Source organism: Homo sapiens, chromosome 14, assembly GCF_000001405.40.
Source record: "Homo sapiens chromosome 14, GRCh38.p14 Primary Assembly".
Lineage (NCBI taxonomy): Eukaryota > Metazoa > Chordata > Mammalia > Primates > Hominidae > Homo > Homo sapiens.
In genome coordinates this window covers 102,456,103-102,480,709 of record NC_000014.9, presented here as the reverse complement: position 1 = coordinate 102,480,709, position 24,607 = coordinate 102,456,103, and the positions used below count along the sequence as shown (strand labels likewise).

General features: G+C 46.5%; 1 protein-coding gene across 2 annotated transcripts in view; it reads right to left on the bottom strand.

Annotated features, from left to right (window-relative positions):
* Positions 1-24,607, bottom strand: part of TECPR2 (tectonin beta-propeller repeat containing 2) — a 139,537-nt gene that overhangs the window by 21,768 nt on the left and 93,162 nt on the right. Inside the window, exon 17 of one of the 2 annotated variants that reach the window (NM_014844.5) lies at positions 15,421-15,569. In NM_014844.5, the coding sequence (NP_055659.2) occupies positions 15,421-15,569 (149 nt within the window). Of the gene's footprint in view, positions 1-15,059; positions 15,570-24,607 lie in introns of those variants that run through there. The other variant, NM_001172631.3, reaches the window with a different exon arrangement.

The window sequence follows — 24,607 nt, the reverse complement described above, 5'->3', positions numbered from 1 at the left end:
CTCATCTCTACAAAATAAAAATTAAAAAATGAGCCAGGTGTGATGGTGCATACCCCTAGCCATTTTGGAGGCTGAGGCAGGAGTATTGTTTGAGCCCAGGGGTTTGTGGTTATAGTGAGCTATGATCGCACCACTGCACTTCAGCTTGAATGACAGACTGAGACTCTGTCTCAAAAATAAAAAATAGGCCGGGCATGGTGGCTCACGCCTGTAATCCCAGCACTTTGGGAGGCCAAGGCAGGCGGATCACAAGGTCAGGAGATCGAGACCATCCTGGCTAACACAGTGAAAACCCATCTCTACTAAAAACACAAAACATTAGCCAGGTGTGGTGGTGGGCGCCTGTAGTCCCAGCTACTCGGGAGGCTGAGGCAGGAGAATGGCGTGAACCCGGGAGGTGGAGCTTGCAGTGAGCCGAGATCATGCCACTGCACTCCAGCCTGGGCGACAGAGCAAGACTCCGTCTCAAATAAATCAATAAAAAAAAAAAAAAAAAAACCAACCAAGATGCCTGGGCCTCACCCCAGACCTGCTGAATTCATATCTCCAGGGAGGGCCGAGGCCTGGACATTTTTAATAAGCTCCTCTGATGGCTCTAATGTGGATATGACCCTTCACTTTACTGATAGGAAAATGAAAGTGAAAGGCGAGTTTAAGCAACATTCCCAAGGTCAATTGAATCTACAGGCAAAAAACAAGTATTAGTTGAAGTTCTTCTGATTGCAAGTAACAGATTCTGCCCGCAATGGGAACAGTCCCTCCTGGCTGGCAGGGCTCCAGGATGCTGCAGTCTCCCTGAGCACTGCGCCCCACTGCTGGAAATGGCCACATGCCATCTGCCCAATGCCTCTCCAAGGCACCTGCGTGCAGGCCAGCTGGGAAGGAAGTCTTGCAGTATCATGCATACAAGCGACGCTGGCTCAGTGAGGTTGGATCAAGGAGACCAAGAGGCACTTGTACAGGCAACTGGTCCAGTCACCAAAAGGAGATTAATGAGATTACAGACCCAGGCTGGGACGCCAGCATGGATTGGCTTCTTCTGCCCCAAAACAATCCATGTCAGAGTCCCCATGTCCACTCCATCCCAATCTCACATCTCACAGATGTGCACCACAAATCCAGCGAATCAGGCCAAAGAATTTCCACAGCTCACTGCAGACCTTCTCCATTTGGGTCCTGTCCGGCCCTGCTCAAGAGCCTCCAACAGCCCCCACTGCCCATGGAATTAGCCACAAACCCTCCAGCCTCAGAGTCAAGATCCTCCAAAGATGACCCAAAGGACATCTCAGATCTTCTCTTTCCCACAACATCCTTTGTGCATCCTTCACTCCCAGAGGTTCACTGCCAGGAGCCTAGAAGCCCACAGAGCTAATGTCTCACAGTCCTCAGGGTGGTCCAGCAGCAGACAGTCCTCCCAAGGCAGCAGGGAGGAGCACTCTTCCCTACTCAGAAACACTAGGCCAAGCCTCTTTACCTGCTGGTCACTGAAAATGCCCATTGAGTCTCAAGTCCAAGTTCAAACACTACCCATCCTCGGAAACCAGGTTTGGGACCCTGGGGATCTGTATTTTTTTCATGATTGCTTCTATAACCTCCTGCCTCGCTCTTCTTTTAGTCATTTAACTTTTGGTCAGTTAACTCCAAAAACAGCTTCAATCATTTCCTTTTTTTTTTCCTTTTTTTTTTTTTTTTTGAGACAGGGCCTTACTCTTTCGCCCAGGCTGGAGTGCAGTGGCATGATCTCAGCCCACTGCAACCTCCGCCTCCTGGGCTCAAGCAATCCTCCCATCTCAGCCTCCCGAGTAGCTGAAATTACAGGCATGTGCCACCATGCCCAGCTAATTTTTTGTATTTTTGGTAGAGATGGGGTTTTACCATGTTTCTCAGGCTGGTCCTGAACTCCTGAGCTCAGGTGATCCACCTGCCTCGGCCTCCCATAGTGCTGGGATTACAGGTGTGAGCCACCATGCTTAGGCAGCTTCACTCATTTCTGTTCCCTCTGCAAACCAAACACAATGTAGGGTACCCTATAATCTTCATTTAAAACTTTTTTTTTTTTTTGAGACAGGGTCTCATTCTGTCACCCAGGCTGGAGCGCACTGACATGATCACAGCTCACTGCAGCCTCAACCTCCCCAGTAGCTGGAACTACAGGCACATGCCACCACACCTGGCTAACTTTTGTATTTTTCATAGAGATGGGATTTCACAATAATACCCAGGCTGGTCTTGAACTCCTGAGCTCAAGCAATCTACCCGCCTCGACCTCCCAAAGTGCTGGGATTATAGGCATGAGCCACCACACCCGGCCCATTTAAATTTTTTTTTTGTACACTTTAATATTTAAAACAACTCTACAGAGGCCAGACATGGTGGCTCACATCTGTAATCCCAGTACTTTGGGAGGCTAAGGTGGGAGGCTTGCTTGAGGCCAGGAGTCCAAGACCAGCCTGGGCAACATAGCAAGACTATGCCTCTACAAATTTTTTTAAAAATTAGCTAGGTGCGGTGGTGCATGCCTGTAGTGTCCTAGCTAGTTGGGAGGCTGAGGTGGGAGGATGGCTTGACCCAGGAGTTTGAGGTTACAGTGAGCCACAATCACTCCACTGCACTCCAGCATGGGCAATGGAGTGAGACTCTGTCTCTAAAAAACAAAAACAGGCCGGGTGCGGTGGCTCACGCCTGTAATCCCAGCACTTTGGGAGGTGGGCAGATCACGAGGCCAGGAGATCTAGACCGTCCTGGCTAACTCTTTTTTTTTTTTTTTTTTTTTTTGAGACGGAGTCTCGCTCTGTCACCCAGGCTGGAGTGCAGTGGTGCGATCTCGGCTCACTGCAAGTTCCGCCTCCTGGGTTCACACCATTCTCCTGCCTCGGCCTCCTGAGTAGCTGGGACTACAGGCGCCCGCCACCACGCCTGGCTAATTTTTTGTATGTCCTGGCTAACGTGGTAAAACCCTGTATCAACATAAAATACAAAAAAAAAAAAAAAATTTGCCGGGCATGGTGGCGGGCGCCTGTAGTCCCAGCTACTTGGGAGGCTGAGGCAGGAGAATGGTATGAACCCAGGAGGCGGAGCTTGCAGTGAGCCGAGATCGCACCACTGTACCCCAGTCTGGGCTACAGAGCAAGATTCTGTCTCAAAAAAAAAAAAAAAAACCAGCTCTACAGGGGTATGCTGACATACAATGAAATGCACACATTTAAAGTACATAATTGGGTAAGCTTTGACATATGCATACACTCTTGAAGCCACTGCCACACCTCCCCTTTGAAATTTCTGCCAGGCCTTGAGTAAGCACTGATCTGTGTTAGCATTTTCTTTCCTTTTTTTTTTTTTTGAGACGGAGTCTCGCTCTGTTGCCCAGGCTGGAGTGCAATGGCGTCATCACGGTTCACCACAACCTCTGCCTCTCAGGTTCAAGCAATTCTCCTGCTTCAGCTTCCCAAGTAGCTGGGATTACAGGTGTGCACCACCACACTCAGCTGACTTTTGTAGTTTTAATAGAGACGGGGTTTCACCACGTTGGCCAGGCTGGTCTTGAACTACTGACCTCAGGTCATCCACCCGCCCTGGCCTCCCAAAGTGCTGGGATTACAGGCATGAGCCACAGCACCTGGCCTGTGTTAGCATTTTCTAGTATTTTATATAAATAAGTTTGTTTTTGAGACAGGGTCATGCTCTATCACCCAGGCTGGAGTGAGGTGGCAGCCATCATGGCTCACTGCAGCCTCTGCCTCCTGGGCTCAAGGGATCCTCCCACCTCAGCTTCTTGAGCAGCTGGGACTACAGGCACCCAGCTAATTTTTGTATTTTTTGTACAGACGGGGTTTTGCCATGTTGCTTAGGCTGGTCTTGAACTCCTGGGCTCAGGCAATCTGCTCGCCTCAGCCTCCCAAAGTGTTGGGATTACAGGCATGAGCCACTGTACCTGGCCAAATTTTATATAAATGAAATGATAACAGTATGTATTCTTTGGCTTCTTGACTCAGCATAATTATTTCATCAAATTTGGACAACTTTCAGTTGTATTTCTTCTTCACATCTTTTTTTCCTGTCACCCTTCTTCCCTCTTAAGACTTGGATTTCATTTACGTGAGGCCACTTGAAGGGGTCTGTGCTCACTGATTCTCTGAACATTTTCCAGCCTGTTTTCCCTCTGGGCTTCAGTGTGGATGGTTTTTCACTGCTGTGTCTTCAAGCTCACTAGTCTTTTCTTCTGCAATTTCTATGCTGCCATTAATCTCATCCAGTGATATTTTTCAGCTCAGACATTGCAATTTTAATCCCTACAAATTTGATTTGAGTTGTTGTTTTTTGTTTTGTTGTTTTTTTTTTTTTTTAGAGGCAGGGTCTTGCCATCTTGCCCAGGCTCATCTTGAACTCCCGAGCTTAAGCAATTCTCCCAGCTCAGCGTCCCAAAGTTCTGGGATTGCAGGCACGAGCCACCACACCCAGCCTGGAGTTTTTTGATATTGTTTTTTTTTTTTTTTTTTTTTTTTTGAGACAGAGTCTCGCTCTGTTGCCCAGGCTGGAGTGCAGTGGTGCAATCTTTGCTCACTGCAACCTCCACCTCCCAGGTTCAAGTGATTCTCCTGCCTCAGCCTCCTGAGTAGCTACGATTACAGGTGTGTGCCACCACGCTTGGCTAATTTTTGTATTTTTAGTAGAGATGAGGTTTTGCCATGTTGGCCAGGCAACTCCTGACCTCAGGTGGTCTGCCCACCTCAGCCTCCCAATGTGCTGGGATTACAGGTGTGAGCCGTTGCATGCCTGGCCTAGCCTGGAGTTTTTCTATCTCTCATTTTCTACTTAACAGGCTGAATCTCTCTACTAGCTTCTTGAACACATAAAGGTGTAACAACTGTTTTAATGTCCTGTCTATGAATTTTACCATCTGTATCATTTCTGGGTCAGCTCCTATTGACGGATTTCTTCCCCTTTCATTGCAGGTCGTATTTTCCTGCTTCTCTGCTTGTTGGGTAAATGTTAATTGGTTGCCCATGTGAATTTTATCTTGCTGATGTTGGATATTTTTGCAATCTGTAAATATTCTTGAGCTTTGTTCTAAGATGCTGGTAAGTTACTCTGAAACAGTTTGATTCTTCGGAGTCTTGCTTTAAGCTCCAGTAGGTAGGACCAGAGCTGCATTTACTGTCAGGCTAATTTTGCTCCATATCTGAGGCAAAACACTCCTGGGCATCTGACCTACTTATGGGTGCATGTGATCTGTCCAGCAGAAGACCCTCTGACTGGTCACAGGGAATTGTGACACAGGCTCCTTCCTCAAACATGGTCTGACCAGGCCACCTGCCTGGCTTCAAACTCTTCAAGAATGATGCCAATGCCTTAGCCCAGCCCTCCCTGCCCCGGCCTGTGCCAGTCTCCCAATACAGCCCCTTTCTGCACCCTGGGCAAGGGTGCCTTCTGCTCAGTGCCTATACTTCATGTCCCCTCTGCTTAGAACACCCTCTGTCCTGCCTGCCTGCTACACTCCTACTTGCCTTTCTTGTACCAGTGCCACCTCTTGTGAGATCCTCTGACCACTCCAAGGCCCTGACAGCACTTCCCTCTCCAGCTGGCTCCATGGCACTCTGCCCACAGCTCTGGAAGCACAGGCGCCAGTGGTTTGCGTGTGTCTCTACGGTAGCCTGTGAGTGTCCCTGGATGGGACTGTTCTTGCCGCTGCTCTGTTGTGGGCCTTGAGGATGAGGGGCTGAGGAGGCCCGGCACAACCACTGACTACCCTGAGACCAGGAACCTTGCTTTTGCCAGGCCTTGCTTTCCTCATCTGCAGAAGGAAGTGGCAAGGTTATGTGTTTTCCAGTCTCCTTCTAGCTCTAAAATCTTTGTGTGGGGCAGGGGGAAGGGGGGACAACCTACTGGGGTTCAGATTTATATGGGCTGGGTAGGTCAGAGACGTGCCTCGGAGAAGAAAGGTTGCTCACTGACCCACAAAAGATGGGTCCCTTGTAAAATATACCTATTTTTCTCCCTGATCATGAAAAAGTTTTCCTACCCATTATGGGAAAACATGGTAAATTTTAATCACTTATAATCCCTGGATCAAAATAGTCTTTTTTTTGAGATGGAGTTTCGCTCTTGTTGTCCAGGCTAGAGTGCAATGGCGCGATCTCGGCTCATCACAACCTCCGCCTCCCGGGTTTAAGCAATTCTCCTGCCTCAGCCTCCTGAGTAGCTGGGATTACAGGCATGCACCACCACACCCAGCTAATTTTGTATTTTTAGTAGAGACGGGGTTTCTCCATATTGGTCAGGCTGGTCTTGAACTCCCGACCTCAGGTGATCTGCCCACATGGGCCTCCCAAAGTGCTGGCATTACAGGCATGAGCCACCGTGCCCGGCCCCATAACAGTCACCTTTGTTGTAGTTTCTTCTAGGTTTTCAGTGAGAAATTATTTTTTATTTTTATTAATTGATTAAGACAGGGTCTTGCTCTGTTGCCCAGTCTGGAGTGCAGTGGTACAAACATGGCTCACTGCAGCCTTGACCTCCTGGGCTCAAGTGATCCTCCCACCTCAGCCTCCTGAGTAGCTGGAGTAGCTGGGACCACAGGTGCACGCCAACACACCTGGCTAATTTAAAAAATTACCTGTAGAGACGGGGTCTCACTACGCTGCCTAGGCTGATTTTGAACTCCTGGGTTCAAGTGATCCTCCCACTTTGGCCTCCCAAAGTGCTGGGATTATAGGCATGAGCCACTGCACCCAGCCTAGTGGGATTTTATAGTTTTGTTTTACAAAACTGGAACCACACCATAGACACCATTTCAGAGTCCACTGTAAGCACAGTAAGAACAGACACCTCTTCTACTCAAGCACATGGGGCACACAGAATGTGAAACTTCACACCAACTATGCTTGCGTTAGAGGTACCTCTAACACAGACAGAAAATTCTCTAACTCAAACAGCAAACTCCAGACTATGAAGATGCTAAACACAACTATAAATATTTTCTCCAAACCCTTGCAAGTGTTAGCAAATCTGAAAACTGAGTCATTTGTTTTGAGTACTTTGTTAAAACTTTACCGCAAAACTACTACAGGAGGGGTATCTTCCCAGAGAAGAGAATAGGACAACAGAACTAAATAGAGAAGCTGATGCTAATTTTAAAAGATTTCTGTGGCTTCACTTCATGTGCCCTTGAGCATCTATCCCCTGCCTCCATTTCCTTTTCCACTGCAAATACATCCTCTACGCAGATGAAGAAGCTCAAGTCGAAGAACAAATAAAACAAAGTGGAAAGATGTAGAACATAATCAAAATACATAAACCCCGCTTGTTCTCCAATCCTCAGATTCAACCAACTCTTCTGACGTTCCAGTCCTCAGAGTGAACCCCCATCTCCCCTCACTCCTGGGCTCATTTGCAGGACCCTCTGCGATTTAAAGATTCGCATGTGTAGGCTTTGTCCTAAAATACGACGTGTGAGGCCACTAAGCCTATGACATGTCGCCACAACCTGGTGCTTGCTGCCATCCTGCAGTTGGTCCTGGCCCAGGCCTTGGACCTCAGAGCCACAGGAGAGGCAGAGGCGGGTGTCACACACCTGGGTCTATGTCCCACCCCTGCCGCCTGCCCGCTATGAGGCCTCAGGCAACTTTCTGAACCTCTGAGCTAGGGTTTTCTCCTCTGTCAAATGGGGAAAGACGCAGTCACTTCCCAGGTTGTTGTGAGGACTGAGGGAAAGATGTGCTTCAGGCATTAGCCTGGCACAAGGCGAGCGCCTGGCAGCAGAGCTTGTCTTCACTTCTGATCTCAGCAAACAATCGTCAGTGCCAGCAGCCCGGGAGAAGCGCCTTCCTCAGCCCAGGGGAGCCTCGGCAGGGGCAGCACCTGGGAGCTGGGGGCCTGGGTCCCTGCCTGGGCTTGGCACACACCAGAGTTGGGATCCTGGGCAAATTGCTCAACTGTTCTGGGTAACAGATTTCCTCGTAAAGTAGGGGGAACTACGGACTTTTCTATTTCCTGGGGCAATAAAAGGGTTAAGGATAAGGCAGTGCTTGGCAAAGTGCAGTAGAAAGGCCTGTGTACATGTGAAGCCTGATTTCTTTCCCACAGAAACCAACTTGAAAAGCATTTTGTATCTACAGAATCCATGGCAAACTGAATGTCTTCCATAGCATGCTAAAAGCTAACTCAATGAGAAAATGTGGCTCTATTCAGCAGAACTACTTGAAATAGTTCATGCTTAACATCCCATTTAGCAATCACTACTTTATTCAGAGCAGAGCTTTGAGGTCCTTTCATGTGAATTTGTTCTATTTTGGCCATTTTCCTGGCAAAGCTGTTGATCACCACAGTCAATAGAGCACTTTAAGCAAAGCTCTCTTCCCCATTTTAGCTTTGCTTCCTAGAGGTTATTCTAGAGTCTACATGGAGACAGGAACAGGAAATTGTGGTTGCACACCGTTCTCCATGTAACCCTTTTGCCAGGTACCTGTGTGGCCCCATGGCTGCAGAGAGGTGCACACAGCAGAGGCAAGGGTGGCTCCAGCCCCACTGAGGACTGAGATCGGCAGCTTCCTGCTTGCCCTACTCTCCAGCATCCTGGCCTCTGGCTTGCTGGGAAAAGGAGGAGGCAAGGCACATGGGCGCTCAACCCACTCAAGGACGTTCTTTCTACAACACATCCTGCAAATCTCGCTCTTGCACTCAGCAGCCTGCCTCTGCACTGGGATCCTACAAACTTTACAGTCCAATGTTACCACAGGTCTTCCACATGTACGTGATAATTGTGACAAATATTCCTTGGAGCTACCAGAGGAATATCACTATCAAGCAAAGCACTGTGCACAAGAATGTGTGGAGGAAGTAACAGAGTGGAAATAGAAGAAATAGAGGATAGAAAAACAACACAGAAAAAGCAAGAAAACCAAAAGGAGGTGTTTTGAAAAGAGCAACAAAATTGACAAACCTTTAGCTAGACTAAGAAAAAATGAGAGAAGATTCAAATTATTATTATTATTATTATTAGCGTTGTGCTCTGTTGCCCAGGCTGGAGTATAGTGGCAATTGGCAATAAAACTGGCAATCATAGCTCACTACAGCCTTGAACTCCTGGGCTCAAGCAATTCTCCTACCTGAGTCTTCTGAGTAGCTGGGACTACAGGTGCACTATCAGGTCCAGGTAATTTTTTTTTTTTTGGTAGAGATGATGTCTTGCTATGTTGCCCAGGCTGGTCTTGAACTCCTAGGCTCAAGTGGTCTTCCTGCCTCAACCTTCCAAAGTGGGATTACAGACATGAGCCACTGTGCCCAGCCAATTCAAATTATAAAATCAGAAAGAGGAGACATTACTACCAATTTCACAGAAATAAAAAGTATTACAGAAGAATACTGTGAACAATTGGATGCCAACAAATTAGATAAAATAGATGAAATGAACAAATTCCTAGAAAGAATAAACTACTTAGATTGACTCAAGAAGAAAGAGAGGCAGGGTGCAGTGGCTCACACCTGTAATCCCAGCACTTTGGGAGGCCGAGGTGGGAAGATCACTTGAGGTCAGGAGTTCGAGACCAGCCTGGCCAACATAGTGAAACCCTATCTCTACTAAAAATATAAAATTAGGCTGGGCACAGTGACTCACGTCTGTAATCCCAGCACTTTGGGAGGCCGAGGCAGGTGGATCATGAGGTCAGGAGATCAAAACCATCCTATTCAACATAGTGAAACCCCATCTCTACTAAAAATACAAAAATTAGCTGGGTGTGGCGGTGCATGCCTGTAATCCCAGCTACTCGTGAGGCTGAGGCAGGAGAACTGCTTGAACCCAGGAGGCGGAGGCTGCAGTGAGCTGAGATCGTGCCACTGCACTCCAGCCTGGGCGACAGAGCGAGACTCCGTCTCAAAAAAAAAAAAAAAACACAAGAAACAAAATTAGCCGGGCATGGTGGTGCACGCCTGTAACCCCAGTTACTTGGGAGGCTGAGGCAGGAGAATTGCTTGAACCTGGGAGGTGGAGGTTTCAGTGAGCTGAGATTGTGCCATTGCCCTCCAGTCTGGGCAACAAGAGCAAAACTCCATCTCAAAAAAAAAAAAAAAAAGAAGAAGAAGAAGAAATAGAAAATTCTGAATAGGCTGGGTGCAGTGGCTCATGCCTGTAATCCTAGCACTTTGGGAGGCTGTGGAGGGTGGATCATTTGAGGTCAGGAGTTCAAGACAAGCCTGGCCAACATGGTGAAACCTCGTCTCTACTAAAAATAGAAAAATTAGCTGCGTGTGGTGGTACATGCCTGTAGTCCCAGCTACTAGGGAGGCCAAGGCAGGAGAATTGCAAGAACCCAGGAGACGGAGGTTGCAGTGGGCCGAGATCGCGCCAACATCCTCTAGCCTGGGTGACAGAGCGAGACTCCATGTCAGAAAAAAAAAAAAAAAATTCTGAATAGACCTATAATGAATAAAGAGATTGAACCAGTAGTCAAAAAAACTTCCCACAAAAAAAGTTCAGGCCTACATGGCTACATGAATTCATGGATGGGATGACGAATTCTAACAAATGGGGTGTAAAAAATAAAACCAATCTTTCAAAAACTCTTCCAAAAAGTAGAAAAGAAGAAAACACTTCCCAGTGCATTCTATGAGGCCAGCAGCATTACCTTGATACCAAATCCAGACAAACACATGGCAAGAAAACCAAAGACCAATATCTCTCATGAATATAGACACAAAAATCCTCAACAAAACTTTAGCAAACCAAATCCAGCAACATATACATACAAAGGATTTCACATCATGACCAACTGGGATTTAACCCAGGAATGAAACTGTGTTTCAACATATAAAACTCCATCAGTATAATATATCATATTAATAAAGGAAAAAAACCAGATGACCATCTCAATAGGCATAGAAAAAGCATTTGACAAAACCCAACACCCTTTCATCATAACAAACACTGAACAAACTAGGAACAGAAAGAACTCCTAGAATTCCTTCTAGGAGTAGAAGGGAAGTTCAACCTAATAAAGGGAGCCTAAGAAAACACAAAGCTCACATCATATTTAATGGTAAAAGACTGAATGCCTTCCCCTTAAGATCAGAAACAAGACTAGGAGGCCCATTCTCGCCACTTCTACTCAACATTTTACTAGAAGTTCCAGCCAGGGCAATCAGGCAAGACAGTAAAATAAAAGACATACAGATAGAAAGGAAGAAGTAAAATTATCTCTATTGGCAGACCATGTCAGAAGCCATGATCTCATCTATAGAAAATGCAAAAGAATCTACAAAAACCTGTTAGACCCAATAAACAAGTTTAGCAAGGTTGCCAGACACAAGATCAATATACAAAAATCTATACTAGCAATGGGCAATCTGAAAATGAAGAAAACAGCTCCATTTACAATAGTATCAAAGGGAATACAGAACTTAGAAATAAACCTAACAAAAGCAGTATAAAACATATACTCTGAAAACTACAAAACATTGGTGAAGGAAAGTAAAGAAGATCTAAATAAATGGGAAGACATCCCATGTTCACAGACTGGAAGATTTTCCAAATTTATCTACTGATTCGACACAATTCCTTTCAAAATTCCAGTTAGTATTTTTTTTTGCAGAAATTGACATACTTATCCCAAAATTCACATGGATGTAGGAGGGGCTCCATGTAGCTGAAAAAATCTTGAAAAAGAAAAAGTTAGAGGATTCATACTTCCTGATTTCAAAATTTACGACAAAGCTAAGTAATCAGGACAGTGTAGTTTAAGGATAGATACACAGATCACTGGGATATAACTAAGAGTCCAGTAGCAAACCTTTATATTTACAATCAATTGATTTTGACAAGGGTGTTGAAATAATTTAATGTGGACAGAATAGTCTTTTCAATAAATGGTGCTGGTACAATTCGATACCCACATGTAAAAGAATGCATTTGGACACCTATCTCATACCATATTCAAAAATCAACTCAAAATGGATGAAGCACTTAATGTAAGAGCTAAAACTACAAAACTGCTAGAAGAAAACATAGAGGTAAATCTTTGTGACCTTGGATTAGGCAACTAAAAGCAGAAGCAAATGAAGAAAAAATTAATAAACTGGACTTCATCAAAATAAAAATATTTGTGCATCAAAGAACATCATAAAAAAGTAAAAGACAATGCACAGAATGGAAGAAAATACTTGTAAATCATGTGTCTGATAAAGGTCTAGTACCCAGAATACATAAAGAACTCATATATAAAACTCAACAGGCTGGGCACGGTGGCTCACACCTGTAATCTCAGCACTTTGGGAGACCCAGGTAGGCGGATCACAAGGTCAGGAGTTCAAGACCAGCCTGGCCAACATGGTGAAACCCCCATCTCTACTAAAAATACAAAAATTAGCCAGGCATGGCGGTGCATGCCTGTAATCCTAGCTACTCAGGAGACTGAGGCAGTAGAATCACTTGAATCCAGGAGGCAGAAGTTGCAGTGAGCTGAGATCATGCCACTGCACTCCAGCCTGGGCGACAGAGCAAGACTCCATCTCAAAACAAACAAACAAACTCAGTAAAAGATAACACAATTTAAAAATGAGCAAAAGATTTGAGGCTGGGCGTGGTGGCACACGCCTGTAATCCAAGCACTTTGGGAGGCCGAGGTGGGCGGATCACCTGAGGCCAGGAGTTTGAGACCAGCCTGGCCAACATGGTGAAACCCTGCCTCTACTAAAAAAATATGGAAAAAAAAAAATAGCCAGGCGTGGAGGCACATGTCTGTAATCCCAGCTACTCAGCAGGCTGAGGCAAGAGAATCGCTTGAACCCAGGAGGCAGAGATTGCAGTGAGCAGAGATTGCGCCACTGCACTCCAGCCTGGGCAACAGAGTGAGACTCCATCATAAAAAAAAAAAAGAAAAAAGGAACACACAGTTCTTGAAAGAAGATACACAAATAACCAATAAACACATGAAAAGAGGGATGTTCAATATCATTAGTTGTTAGGTCAATGCAAATCAAACCCACAATGAGATACCACTTTCCAACTACTATGATGACTAGTATTAAAAAATTAGACATATGAGGCAGTTTCTGAGACCAGAAAAATAAAATAACAACAAAAAATTGGAAAGGCCAGGCGCAGTGGCTCATGCCTGTAATCCCAGCACTTTGGGAGGCCGGGGGAGGGTGGATTACCTGAGGTCAGGAGTTCGAGACCAGCCTGACCAATATGGTGAAACCCCGTCTCTCCTAAAAATACAAAAATCACCTGGGCATGGTGGTGCATGCCTGTAATCTCAGCTACTCAGGAGGCTGAGGCAGGATAATTGCTTGAACCCGGTAGGCGGAGGTTGTAGTGAGCCAAGATGGCGCCATTGCACTCCAGACTAGGCAATAAGAGCGAAACTCTGGCTCAAAAAAAAAAAAAAAAAAAAAATTGGTGAGGATGGGAAAAACTAGAACTCTCATATCTTGCTGGTGGAACACAAATGGTGCAGCCACTGTGAAAAACACTTTGACATCCTTAAAAAGTTCAACACAGAATCGCCACATGACCTGCAATTCCACTTACAGACAGATACCCAATAGAACTGGGAACATACATCCTCCCTAAAGACTTGCACACATATGTTGACAGCAGCATTATTCACAGTAGCCAATAAGCAGAAACAATCCAAATGTCCATCCACTGGTGAAATGATAAACCAATGTGGCCTATCCATACAACAGAGCTGTGATGTAGTCATAAAAAGGAATTAAGAACTGATACACCTACAACGTGGATGAACTCCGAAACATGATACAAAGTGAAAGATGTCAGATAAAAAAGGCCACATATTATATGATCCAATTTATATAAAATGTCCAGAATAGGCAAAGCCATAGAAACAGAAAGCAGATGAGTGGCTGCCATGGGCGGAGGGGCTGGTTCTGTGAGAACAGGAAGTGACTGCTAATGGGTAAGGGTGTTCTCTCTGTTTTGGAGTGATGGGAACCCTCTGGAATTGGATGGTGCTAACTGCTGCTAACTGATGCTAAAGCCACTGAGCTGCACACTGTAGAAGGCTGAAATTTTATGTTATGCGGGTTGTAACTTAAAAGGAAAAATATAAAGTTGTTAGAAGGAAAAAAAGGAACGTATTGACAGTGGTGTGTCAAAGGAGTCCACCTGGGTGCGGGCAACCAGAGAATTTAAGGACAATAATGAAACTAACGACAGGCGGCTTGCTTTTCATAATCACTGTGCCCCAGCAGTGCTAAACATGGCAGTGAGGAAGGCTCCTCTCTGCAGGGTGGACTCTCCCTCTGTGCCACTATGAGTACGTCACCGTGTGCAGAGGGAAAACAGAGCATGTGTTATAATTCATTATGTACAACCTCATGTTTGACAGTGCCGTATCATTCACAAAGTGTTGTCATAGACAATATCATCCCCATCACCCTCTGGAGGAGGAAGACCCACCAAGGAGGACGAGAAGCCTCCCTGTGGCCATGACCGCTAGTGGTGGCCTCCACAGAGCTCTGGAGCCGAATGCTGATTTCAGTAAAGGTTCTCCCACCACCACACTCCCCAGGGCTGGTGGACACCACTGGTGTCCTCATCCCTGAGGCCTCACCATGACCAAAATGTAGACAGTTATGCACAAAGGCATTTACCCTACTCTTTACCTCTTTCCTGACTCCACTGAAGGTTTCTCTGCCCAACAACGAACCATCCCCCCTGCCCCACTGCTGCCTCCACAATTGGCAACTTCACCTGTTTCCCAACAGAGTCACCAAATGGGGGCTGGCAGGAGTCTGGGCAAATAAGTCTCAAAAAACCACAGCCCCCAGTTATAAACTTCAACAGAAATCTATTCAGCACAGGAACCAAGCCTGTGGGATCTTTAAGGGTAACTAGATAGTACATTCAAATCAGACTTCTCCTTGTGAGCTGAGTGCTGGAGGTCAGGAGAACACAGACTCTGTGTTGGGATGCACGGTCAGCTGAAACATGGCAGGAGCTGGCCAGCAGTGGGCTGGACAGGAAACGGAATTTCTTCAACAAACCAGGAGAGGCACTCAGCATTTTCTCCATGACAAGATTCAAAGTAACTTTTACCTTCTTTATACTTCTGGGTACTGATTTATTATCATTATTATTATAAAATAGAGGTTCCAATATATAGGCAGATTTAAAAAATAATATTCACTTAGTAAAAAGTCAAAAACGAAATATTATTATTTTGAAAGAGAAAATATACGTGTTGACTCATAATCTGTAACAGTCTGTTCAGCTCTAAACTTCACAAATCCCGAATTCCAGTTGTGATGTTGATGAACGAGAGTGTGTAGACCCTGGGGGCATGGCTCCCCGCATTTGCTGGGAGGCCTCTAGAGGCTGTGCAGATCCTTTTTCCCAGTACCAGCATCCTCACAGTTTCTGTCTTACTGAAGAGTGAGTTCCACCAGCTAACTTCTGCTTACCTGGACAGGTGGCTCAATCATTATCCAGGCTGGAAGCATGAGACTGGGATTGAGAGGCTGAGTCCCTACACGGAAGTAAACTCCACCCCTGGAATCACAGGCCCAGATGTGCTGATTTCCACATGCCAAGCTTGTCAATTTTACAGCTCCTGTAGATAAAGAAAAGTACACACACTATAATTACTTTTGTACAATGACTATTCTTTCATCTAATCTATGAACTTTGATTTTCTACTTCAAAGAAAGAAATGAGGCTGCATTTGCAATTGAACTTGGACACTAAGTCATCGGATCTGTCCTAGTCCATCCACATCGGCTGTGTGGACTCAGCTGGGCTTGAGAACACCGTAACTCAAGAGAGTAATAATGGCCTCTGGCCACTCTGCCACCTGCCAGGCGCCACACGGCACCCCTTCCAGGCAACAGGCAAAGCAGTCAAGATGCTGTCAGTACAGTGCCCTGAACCACCGAGCCCTGGGATTAGTATCTCAATGTGGGTCCCATCGTCAGCTTCCTCAGACATGTGACTAATGCCAGCAAATTCTAGATTTGGAGAGAGGGAACTCGTATTTACAGATAATCTTGATCTTAATTAGAATTAAACTGACTGGGCACAGTGGCACACACCTGTAATCTTAGCACTTTCAGAGGCCATGGCGGGTGGATCGGTTGAGCCCAGAAGTTCAAGACCAGTTTGGGCAGCATAGTGAGATCCTGTCTCTACAAAATACACAGAAATTAGTTGGGTGTGGTGGCACACACCTGTAGTCCCAGCTACTCGGGAGGCTGAGATCGGTTGGGCCCAGGAAGTCGAGGTTGCAGTGACCTGTGATGGTGCCACTGCACTCCAGCCTGGGCAACAGAGCGAGGCCCCATCTCAAAAAAACAAAAAAAAACAAAACTAAGTCTCCCAAAGAATCTTCATTTTTATTTATTTCTTACTGCTATTGAGACTGATTGCAAGAGGAAAGGAAATGGGAAGAGTTTTTTAAAAATAGAAATTACATTTGATAATAGTCTGGCTAAAAGAACAGCAGTCAACAGTTCCTGAGCAGCTGCTGTGGACAGGCTGTCAGCCAGGTCTTCATATACTCATCTCAAACCCACAACAATGATACACGATTAGTATCATCCCACTTCACCCATGAGACCGTCGGGACTCAGCCAGAAAGAGATCTGCTGAGGGCCACACGGCAGGAGGTGGCCAGGCCAGGAGGCAAAGGAGGATCTAAGGTTTGGACCTGGGTCAGCCTGGGTCCTCTGCATCAGCAACCTCTGACCTCTGAGACTTTACCTACAGCACAATGCACAGATCTTCAGGGCTAAGTTGAATTGTTTGTTTTTGTTTTTTGTTCTGTTTGTTTTTGAGATGGAGTCTTGCTCTGTCATCCAGGCTGGTGTACAGGGGTGCAATCTTGGCTCACTGCAACCTCTGCCTCCTGGGTTCAAGTGATTCTCGTGCCTCAGCCTCCTGAGTAGCTGGGATTACAGGCGCGTGCCACCACGCCCAGCTAATTTTTGTATTTTTAGTAGAGATGGAGTTTAATCATGTCGGCCAGGCTGGTCTCGAACTCCTGACCTCAAGTGATCCACCCACCTCAGCCTCCCGAAGTGCTGGGATTACAGGTGTGAGCCACTACGCCTGTCCCAATTGGTTTTAAACAACTTAGTCACCCCAAAAAGTTCCCTCAACTCCCTTCTGGCCAATGCCCTCTACCCTGAGGTAACTGCTGAACTGACTGCTTTTTTATTTTTTTTGAGACAGAATCTCGTTCTGTTGCCCAGGCTGGAGTGCAGTGGCGTGATCTTGGCTCACTGCAACCTCTGCCTCCTGTTTTTTTGTTTTTTTCTTTTTTTTTTTTTTTTTTTTTTTGAGACGGAGTCTCGCTCTGTCGCCCAGGCTGGAGTGCAGTGGCGGGATCTCGGCTCACTGCAAGCTCCGCCTCCCGGGTTCACGCCATTCTCCTGCCTCAGCCTCCCAAGTAGCTGGGATTACAGGCACCTGCCACCACGTCCAGCTAATTTTTGTATTTTTAGTAGAGACAGGGTTTTGCCATGTTGGCCAAGCTGGTCTTGAACTCCTGACCTCAGGTGATCCGTCTCGGCCTCCCAAAGTGCTGGGATTACAGGTGTGAGCCACTGCGCCCGGCCTGTTTCATTTTTAAAGAAACCGCCAGTTTCCCCAATGGAGATCCTGTGCTCCACACCCACAGCCGTGTCTGCGGGTTCTGGCTGCCCGCACCCCTGAACCTTTTCCACGGCAGCCATTCTAGGAGAGGTGAAGTTGTATCATGTCGTGGCTTTAATTTGTATTTCCTGCTAAGGAATGATGCTGGGAATCTTTTAATATGCTTATGGACATCTGTATATCTTCTTTTGTGAAGTGCCTGTTCAAGTCTTGCTCATTTTAAAATGAACTTTCTCCTGACTGCTGAGTTAGAGGAGTTCTCTGCACATTGTAGGTACTAGTCTTTTGTCAGATACGTGCATTGTAAATCTAGTCTGTGGTTTGCTTTTTCATTTTCTTAATAGTGTTTTTGGATGAGAAGTTTTTAATTTTGATGGGTTATTTTGACTTTCAACCGGGGAATAAAAGGTGTGCAGCTCCATTAGCTGGTGGTGCTGCTGGAGAGGGGCAGGTGGAGGACGCCCCACACTGGGTGCAGAATCGGGAGGTACCACCCTTGCACAGTTGTCACTGGTATCAGATGACAGCCCACGGAGTGTAGCAAAACACAGAGGCATGACTCTGCCATGTGAAAATCTCATGTGTCTTCAGTTATGACATCAACTTAAAGCTATTCATTCACTGCTACACAAAAAATTATCATTATTCCTCTTTGCATTTTCTAAAGATGACAATTTCTCTATTCCAAAAATTAACTGTATTTTCTCCTTCCTTGATCTTGTACAGAATGTTTTACCGGGGAGTTTAAACAGAATTCCCTGGAACTCTAACATTACATATGCAAAGATCTGTACCAGTCAAAATAAAGTACCTTCAACAGTAACTCTAGAAATAGCTGAGAAACAAATGCTAATTAAAAGACAATTTTACATTAGAGTCTTCAACCTGCCTCTAAGAGAAACTACAGGCAGCAGTGATCATGCTAACAGAGTCACATGGTGACAAAAACACACCAGGCCAGCATCTCAGAGTTGGCAGCAACAACACTGCTCACAGAACACGGAGTTCACATTACACAGTGAACAACCTTTCAGAACACATATAAAAGACTACTAGATGATGTACTTCCAGTGCATAAACCAGCTTATTCCGAATTGAAGAGACAGGTGAAAGATGACAAAGTTGAACTGAGGGCTTTCCTGCAGACTTTTACCCCAGAGTGTCACCCAGGCCGCCTGGATGAATGAGGTTTGTGAACCTGTTCCATGGAAGAAGTGGTCAGGATGTGGTGAACGCGGTGGCAGAGACCACAGCCCTCCCCAAGCACTCCATGGCTCCCTCACATTCCCTTAGAGTTAGGCAGGACCCACGACCAGTACTGGCAACAGGCTCTGAGCAGAAGGAACCGAGATGGTGGAGCCGCAGAGCAAAGCAGGCAGGATCAGGAAGCCACCACCTGGAGGACCACTGCCCTAGAAGAGGACAGATGCAGGGCCAGCTTCGTGGAGCGGGGGCCACGGTTCACTGTGTGAAGTCGCTGATATCTGGGGCTTGCTACCGAAGCACAGCCCAGCCTGGCTGATGCAAACACACTGACATTTTCCTGTCTGTCCCTGCTTTGTCCTTATTTTTTTCTCTTGTTTTAAAAAAATGCTTTAATTACTTTATTCGACAAAGCAGACATTTTCCCTTTAGGATTATTTCTTAAACATATCATTTTAAAACAAAAAGTGGCATTTATTTGACATTTTATTTATAAAATACTTTTCTGTATAAATTACTGCGTAACACAATCCTGTTTGTTACCTAACGGCATAAACTGACACTGAATAGTTCTTCATTAAATGCTGTGACCTGATAAATTAAATTACAAATTTCATTAGTTTGCTAAACATTCCAATGCCTGACATAATGCATATTTATGTGTACTGGGAAATGAAATGTTACAAGCATCTTAAATATCTGCTAAGTGATGCAAATTTTCTTCCAAAAACTAGGATTATAATAAATCACTACAAAATTCCATATTCAACTGCTACAACTTGGTTCAGCAGCCAACCATTTAATTTAAGAATTCCTTTAATTTAATCCTATAGCAGTAATTGCTCTGGTAATTTGTATAGGGGTAGAAAGAAGAGGGAAGCTGTATTTAAAAAAAAAAAATTGAGGCTGGGCGCAGTGGCTCACACCTGTAATCCCAGCACTTTGGGAGGCTGAGGCGGGTGGATCACAAGATCAGGAGATCGAGACCATCCTGGCTAACACGGTGAAGCCCCATCTCTACTAAAAATACAAAAAAATTAGCTGGGCATGGCAGTGGGTGCCTGTAGTCCCAGCTACTCAGGAGGCTGAGGCAGGAGGATGGCGTGAAGCTGGGAGGTGGAGCTTGCAGTGAGCGGAGATCGTGCCACTGCACTCCAGCCTGGGCGACAGAGCGAGACTCCGTCTCAAAAAAAAAAAAAAATTAAAGGTAGAAATCATGTTCATTATTTGATACTTCGCTAAAGTCATCCTCATCCTTGAAATTAAAATTTAATTTTTTTTTTTTGAGACAGAGTCTTGCTCTGTCACCCAGGCTGGAGTGTAGTGGCGTGATCTCGGCTCACTACAACCTCTGCCTCCCAGGTTCAAGGGATTCTTGTGCCTCAGGCTCCCAAGTAGCTGGGATTACAGACATGTGCCACCACACCTGGCTAATTTTTGTATTGTTAGTAGAGACGGGGCTTCACCATGTTGGCCAGGCTAGTCTCAAACTCCCGACCTTAGGTGATCTGCCTGCCTTGGCCTCCCAACGTGCTGAGATTACAGGCATGAGCCACTGTACCTGGCCTTGTTTTTTAATTAATTGATTATTATTAGTAGTATTTTTTGAGACAGAGTCTCATTCTGTCGCCCAGGCTGGAGTGCAGTGGCACCATCTTGGCTCAGCAGTGGCATAATCTTGGCTCACTGGAGCCTCTGCCTCTCGGGTTCAAGCGATTCTTGTGCCTCAGCCTCCTGAGTAGCTGAGACTACAGCGCCCACCACCACACCCAGCTAATTTTTGTATTTTAAGTAGAGACAGGGTTTTGCTATGTTGGTCAGGCTGGTCTCAAACTCCTGGCCTTAAGTGATCCTCCTGCCTCAACCTCCCAAAGTGCTAGGATTACAAGCGTGAGCCACCACACCCAGTCTGAAATTAAAATTTCTGCTTGCCTTTTAGAGAAGACTGATGATGGTCCTGACCTAACAATGAGTTAGTGCTGCCCAAGGTCAACACTGTCCCCGAGGGAGCAGAGGTCATGCTGTCCAAGGCTGCTTGCTACTCATACAACCAGGAAGACACTTGTAAAGAAAACACCAGGGCTGAAGGGAGAACACATGTAAATGTATCTCTAACAAGATTTTTTGGTTTGCTTTTTTGAGACGGAGTCTCGCTCTGTTCCCAGGCTGGAGTACAATGGCATGATCTTTGTAACCTCCACCTCCCGGGTTCAAGCGATTCCCTTGCCTCAGCCTCCAGAGTAACTGGGACTACAGGCAAGCCACCATGCCCAGCTAATTTTTGTATTTTTAGTAGAGACGGGGTTTCACCATGTTGGCCAGGATAGTCTTGATCTCGTGATCTACGCACCTTGGCCTCTCAAAGTGCTGGGATTACAGGTGTGAGCCACCATGCCTGGCCGACAAGTTTTTATAACCTAACATCTTCTGCCTCATGCCCTGGGAAGGCTGATGGCAACTTAGAGCAAGAGATGAGAATTTTCCTGGGAGGGTGGGAGTCACATCATCCACCAGGCTACTGTGTGTGATGACATCCTGTACTTGCATGGAAGGCAGTTTTATCTTTGACTACCAGTAACATGGCCAAATATAGGATCAAAACTCACATCCCAGAGTTACTCAGAAATGGAGCTGCAAACAGTACTGACTTTCCCTGACATTTTAAATCCTGCTGGTGCAGCTGCATGCAGTTGTAATCCCCGCACTTTGGGAGGCTGATGTGGGAGCATCACTGGAGCCCAGGAGTTTGAGACCAGCCTAGGCAACATAGTGAGACCCCATCCCAAATTAAAACAAAAATCCTGTTGGGTACGTACTGTCACCAAGCAATTGGTCTCTGCCTGTAAAGTCCCTACACACTCCGTGTGTAAACTTTCAACAAAAATAATGTGAGTCAAACTAAAATTACATATATATATATATATATATATATGTGTGTATTTTTTTTTTTTTTAAGAAACAGGAGCTTGCTCTGTTGCCTAGATTAGGCTCAGCTTCCCAGGCTCAAGCAATCCTCCTGCCTCAGCCTCCCAAGTAGCTAGGACAACAGGTGTGCGCCACCGTGCTTGGCTCTGAAATGACAGGTAGAAGCACAGTGCTATGATGGGGACAGTCAATGAAGAATGTCTGGTGGGGAGGTGCGATCTCAACTGAGTCCTGAAGGAAGAAGAGTTGAAGGAAAGCAGCCCACGGAAGGAATGCTAGGCCCCAGGAAGAGAAGCAAATGGGTGGCATGAACATGCACCACACATTAGGGAAGGGCAGGAGTTCAAGACCAGCCTGGCCAACATGGTGAAACCCCATCTCTACCCAAAATATGAAAGTTAGCCAGGGCCCCAACACAAAGGCCAGGAGTGGCTGGAGTCCCCAACGCACGAGGCCTCGGAACAGCAGGCCGGGTCTGGCTGCGAGACCCTGGGTGCCACACCAAAGACTGGAGCTGTATTCTAGTGGCAGCGTGGAGCCATGTAACGTGGAGGGCAACACCATCTGAGCTGGGTTTGAGGAAGACAGCTCTGGTAGCCGTGGTGGGAGGTGGGCACACCTGGTGCCAGGAGGCAGCTACTGCAGTACAGCAACTTGGTGACGAGGGGGCTCCACCCTGACAGTGGTGGGAGGGAAGCAGAGGTCCAGAAGCAGGGAGATCCTCGGGTAGATGGCCAGGACACTGCTGAGCGACTGGCCAAAAGAGCACTCTGGTCTTTCCAGCAGAATTTACTGGGAGCAGCAGGGCTCAGTGGCTCACACCTATAATCCCAGCACTTTGGGAGGCTGAGGCGGGTGGATCACCTGAGGTCAGGAGTTAGAGACCAGCCTGGCCAACACAGTGAAACACCGTCTCTACTAAACATACAAAAATTAGCTGGGCGGGGTGGCACAGGCCTGTAATCCCAGCTACTTGGGAGACTGAGGCAGGAGAATCGCTTGAACCTAGGAGACGGAGGTTGCAGTGAGTCAAAAATCAGACCATTGCACTCCAGCCTGGGCAACATGGTGAGACACTATCTCAAAAAAAAAAAAAAAAAAAAAGGGAATTTAGTGGGAGCAGAGGAGCGAAGTTAGGAAGAAGAGCACAATTGGGGGAGGCTAAATTTGATATTGAACAACATCCTCAAATGCAGTCACTGTGTTTCCATTCATTGCTGTGTGCACCCCCTACTGTTGACTTTAACAAATATTTTTAGAGATGGGGTCTTGCTATGTTGGCCAGGTTGGTTTTAAATTCCTGGCCTCAAGCAGTCCTCCCAAAGTGCTAGGATTACAGGTGTAAGCCACTGCACCCGGCCCACTGCTGACTTGTAAAAAATAAATGAAGCACCCCAATTAATTCCAGATAAGTAACACAGGCAGCAGCCATGTCAGCTTGATGACTCTCCTTTACAGTCAATAATCCCCATTCAATGCATGCCACCTGATGACAGCCGCCATGCACAGTCATACACGGGCTCCTGGGCAGACAGCACACCTGCATTCAAAATTTTCACTTAAATAAGTAATTATTAAAAGGTCTCTTGGGTCAGGCGCAGTGGCTCACACCTGTAATCCCAGCACTTTGGGAGGCCAAGACGGGTGCATCAGTTGAGGTCAGGAGCTCGAGACCAGCTTGGCCAACATGGTGAAACCCCGTCTCTACTAAAAACACAAACATTAGCCGGGCATGGCTGTGGATGCCTGTCATCCCAGCTACTCGGGAGGCTGAGGCAGGAGAATCACTTGAACCCAGGAGGCGGAGGTCGCAGTCAGCCAAGATTGTGTCACTGCACTCCAGCCTAGGCAACAGAGTAAGACTCTGTCTCAAACAAACAAAAAGAGAAGTCTCTTGACCTACCTGCTTTTCCTGCAGGACACAGACCATACCTGGAGAGAGCCTAATAACTGAACACCTGGTGCCCCTGGCCTGATGCTCACTGCCCCTACCCTGGCATAGTGAAGGCTGGGGAGGTGGCTGTTCTTTCTAGGGGAGAAACTCAGCTTCAGTGAGATTGAGTCTCAACTTAAGAGTGACAGGGAGGCTGGGTGCGGTAGCTCACACCTGTAATCCCAGCACTTTGGGAGGCTGAGGCGAGCAGATCACGAGGTCAGGAGATCAAGACCATCCTGGCTAACACGGTGAAACCCCATCTCTACTAAAAATACAAAAAATTAGCCAGGCGTGGTGTTGGGAGCCTGTAGTCCCAGCTACTCGGGAGGCTGAGGCAGGAGAATGACGTGAACCCAGGAGGCAGAGCTTGCAGGGAGCCGAGATTGCGCCACTGCACTCCAGCCTGGGCAACAGAGCGAGACTCTGTCTCAAAAAAAAAAAAAAAAAGAGCGAGAGGGAAACAGGAACAAGTCCACCCTGAGTCCAAGATGGCCTCGAGCCCTCCAGTGTTCAGCAGATACTCGTTGAGGGGATAGGTGCGTGTGCAGAGGAACAGCCTGGGAGTCCCGGTTGCCTGTTCACCTCCCTTGCCCCAACACAAAGCTGCCAACCCTGGACTTGCTGCATTCTCTCAGGATGTGTAGGAAACAGGAAAGGAGTCTTAATCTGACATTTCAAGATCAACCAGATAACTCAAATAAACAAAATCTAAAGTTCAGGGCAGGATAAGGACTAAGCGAGGTGGTGCTTTAACAAGAGATGCTGGATTTGTCCTCCCTGTGGCACAAACTGGGGCAACACAAGCAAAAGCCCCACCACCAGCAGCTAACAAAGACTAGAGAGCACCCCCAAGCAAGACGTGTCACAGCCTTAGGATGACCACACCGCCCGGAGATGGCCAACATTTAGACGGGATGCCCCGTGCATCCTCCAGG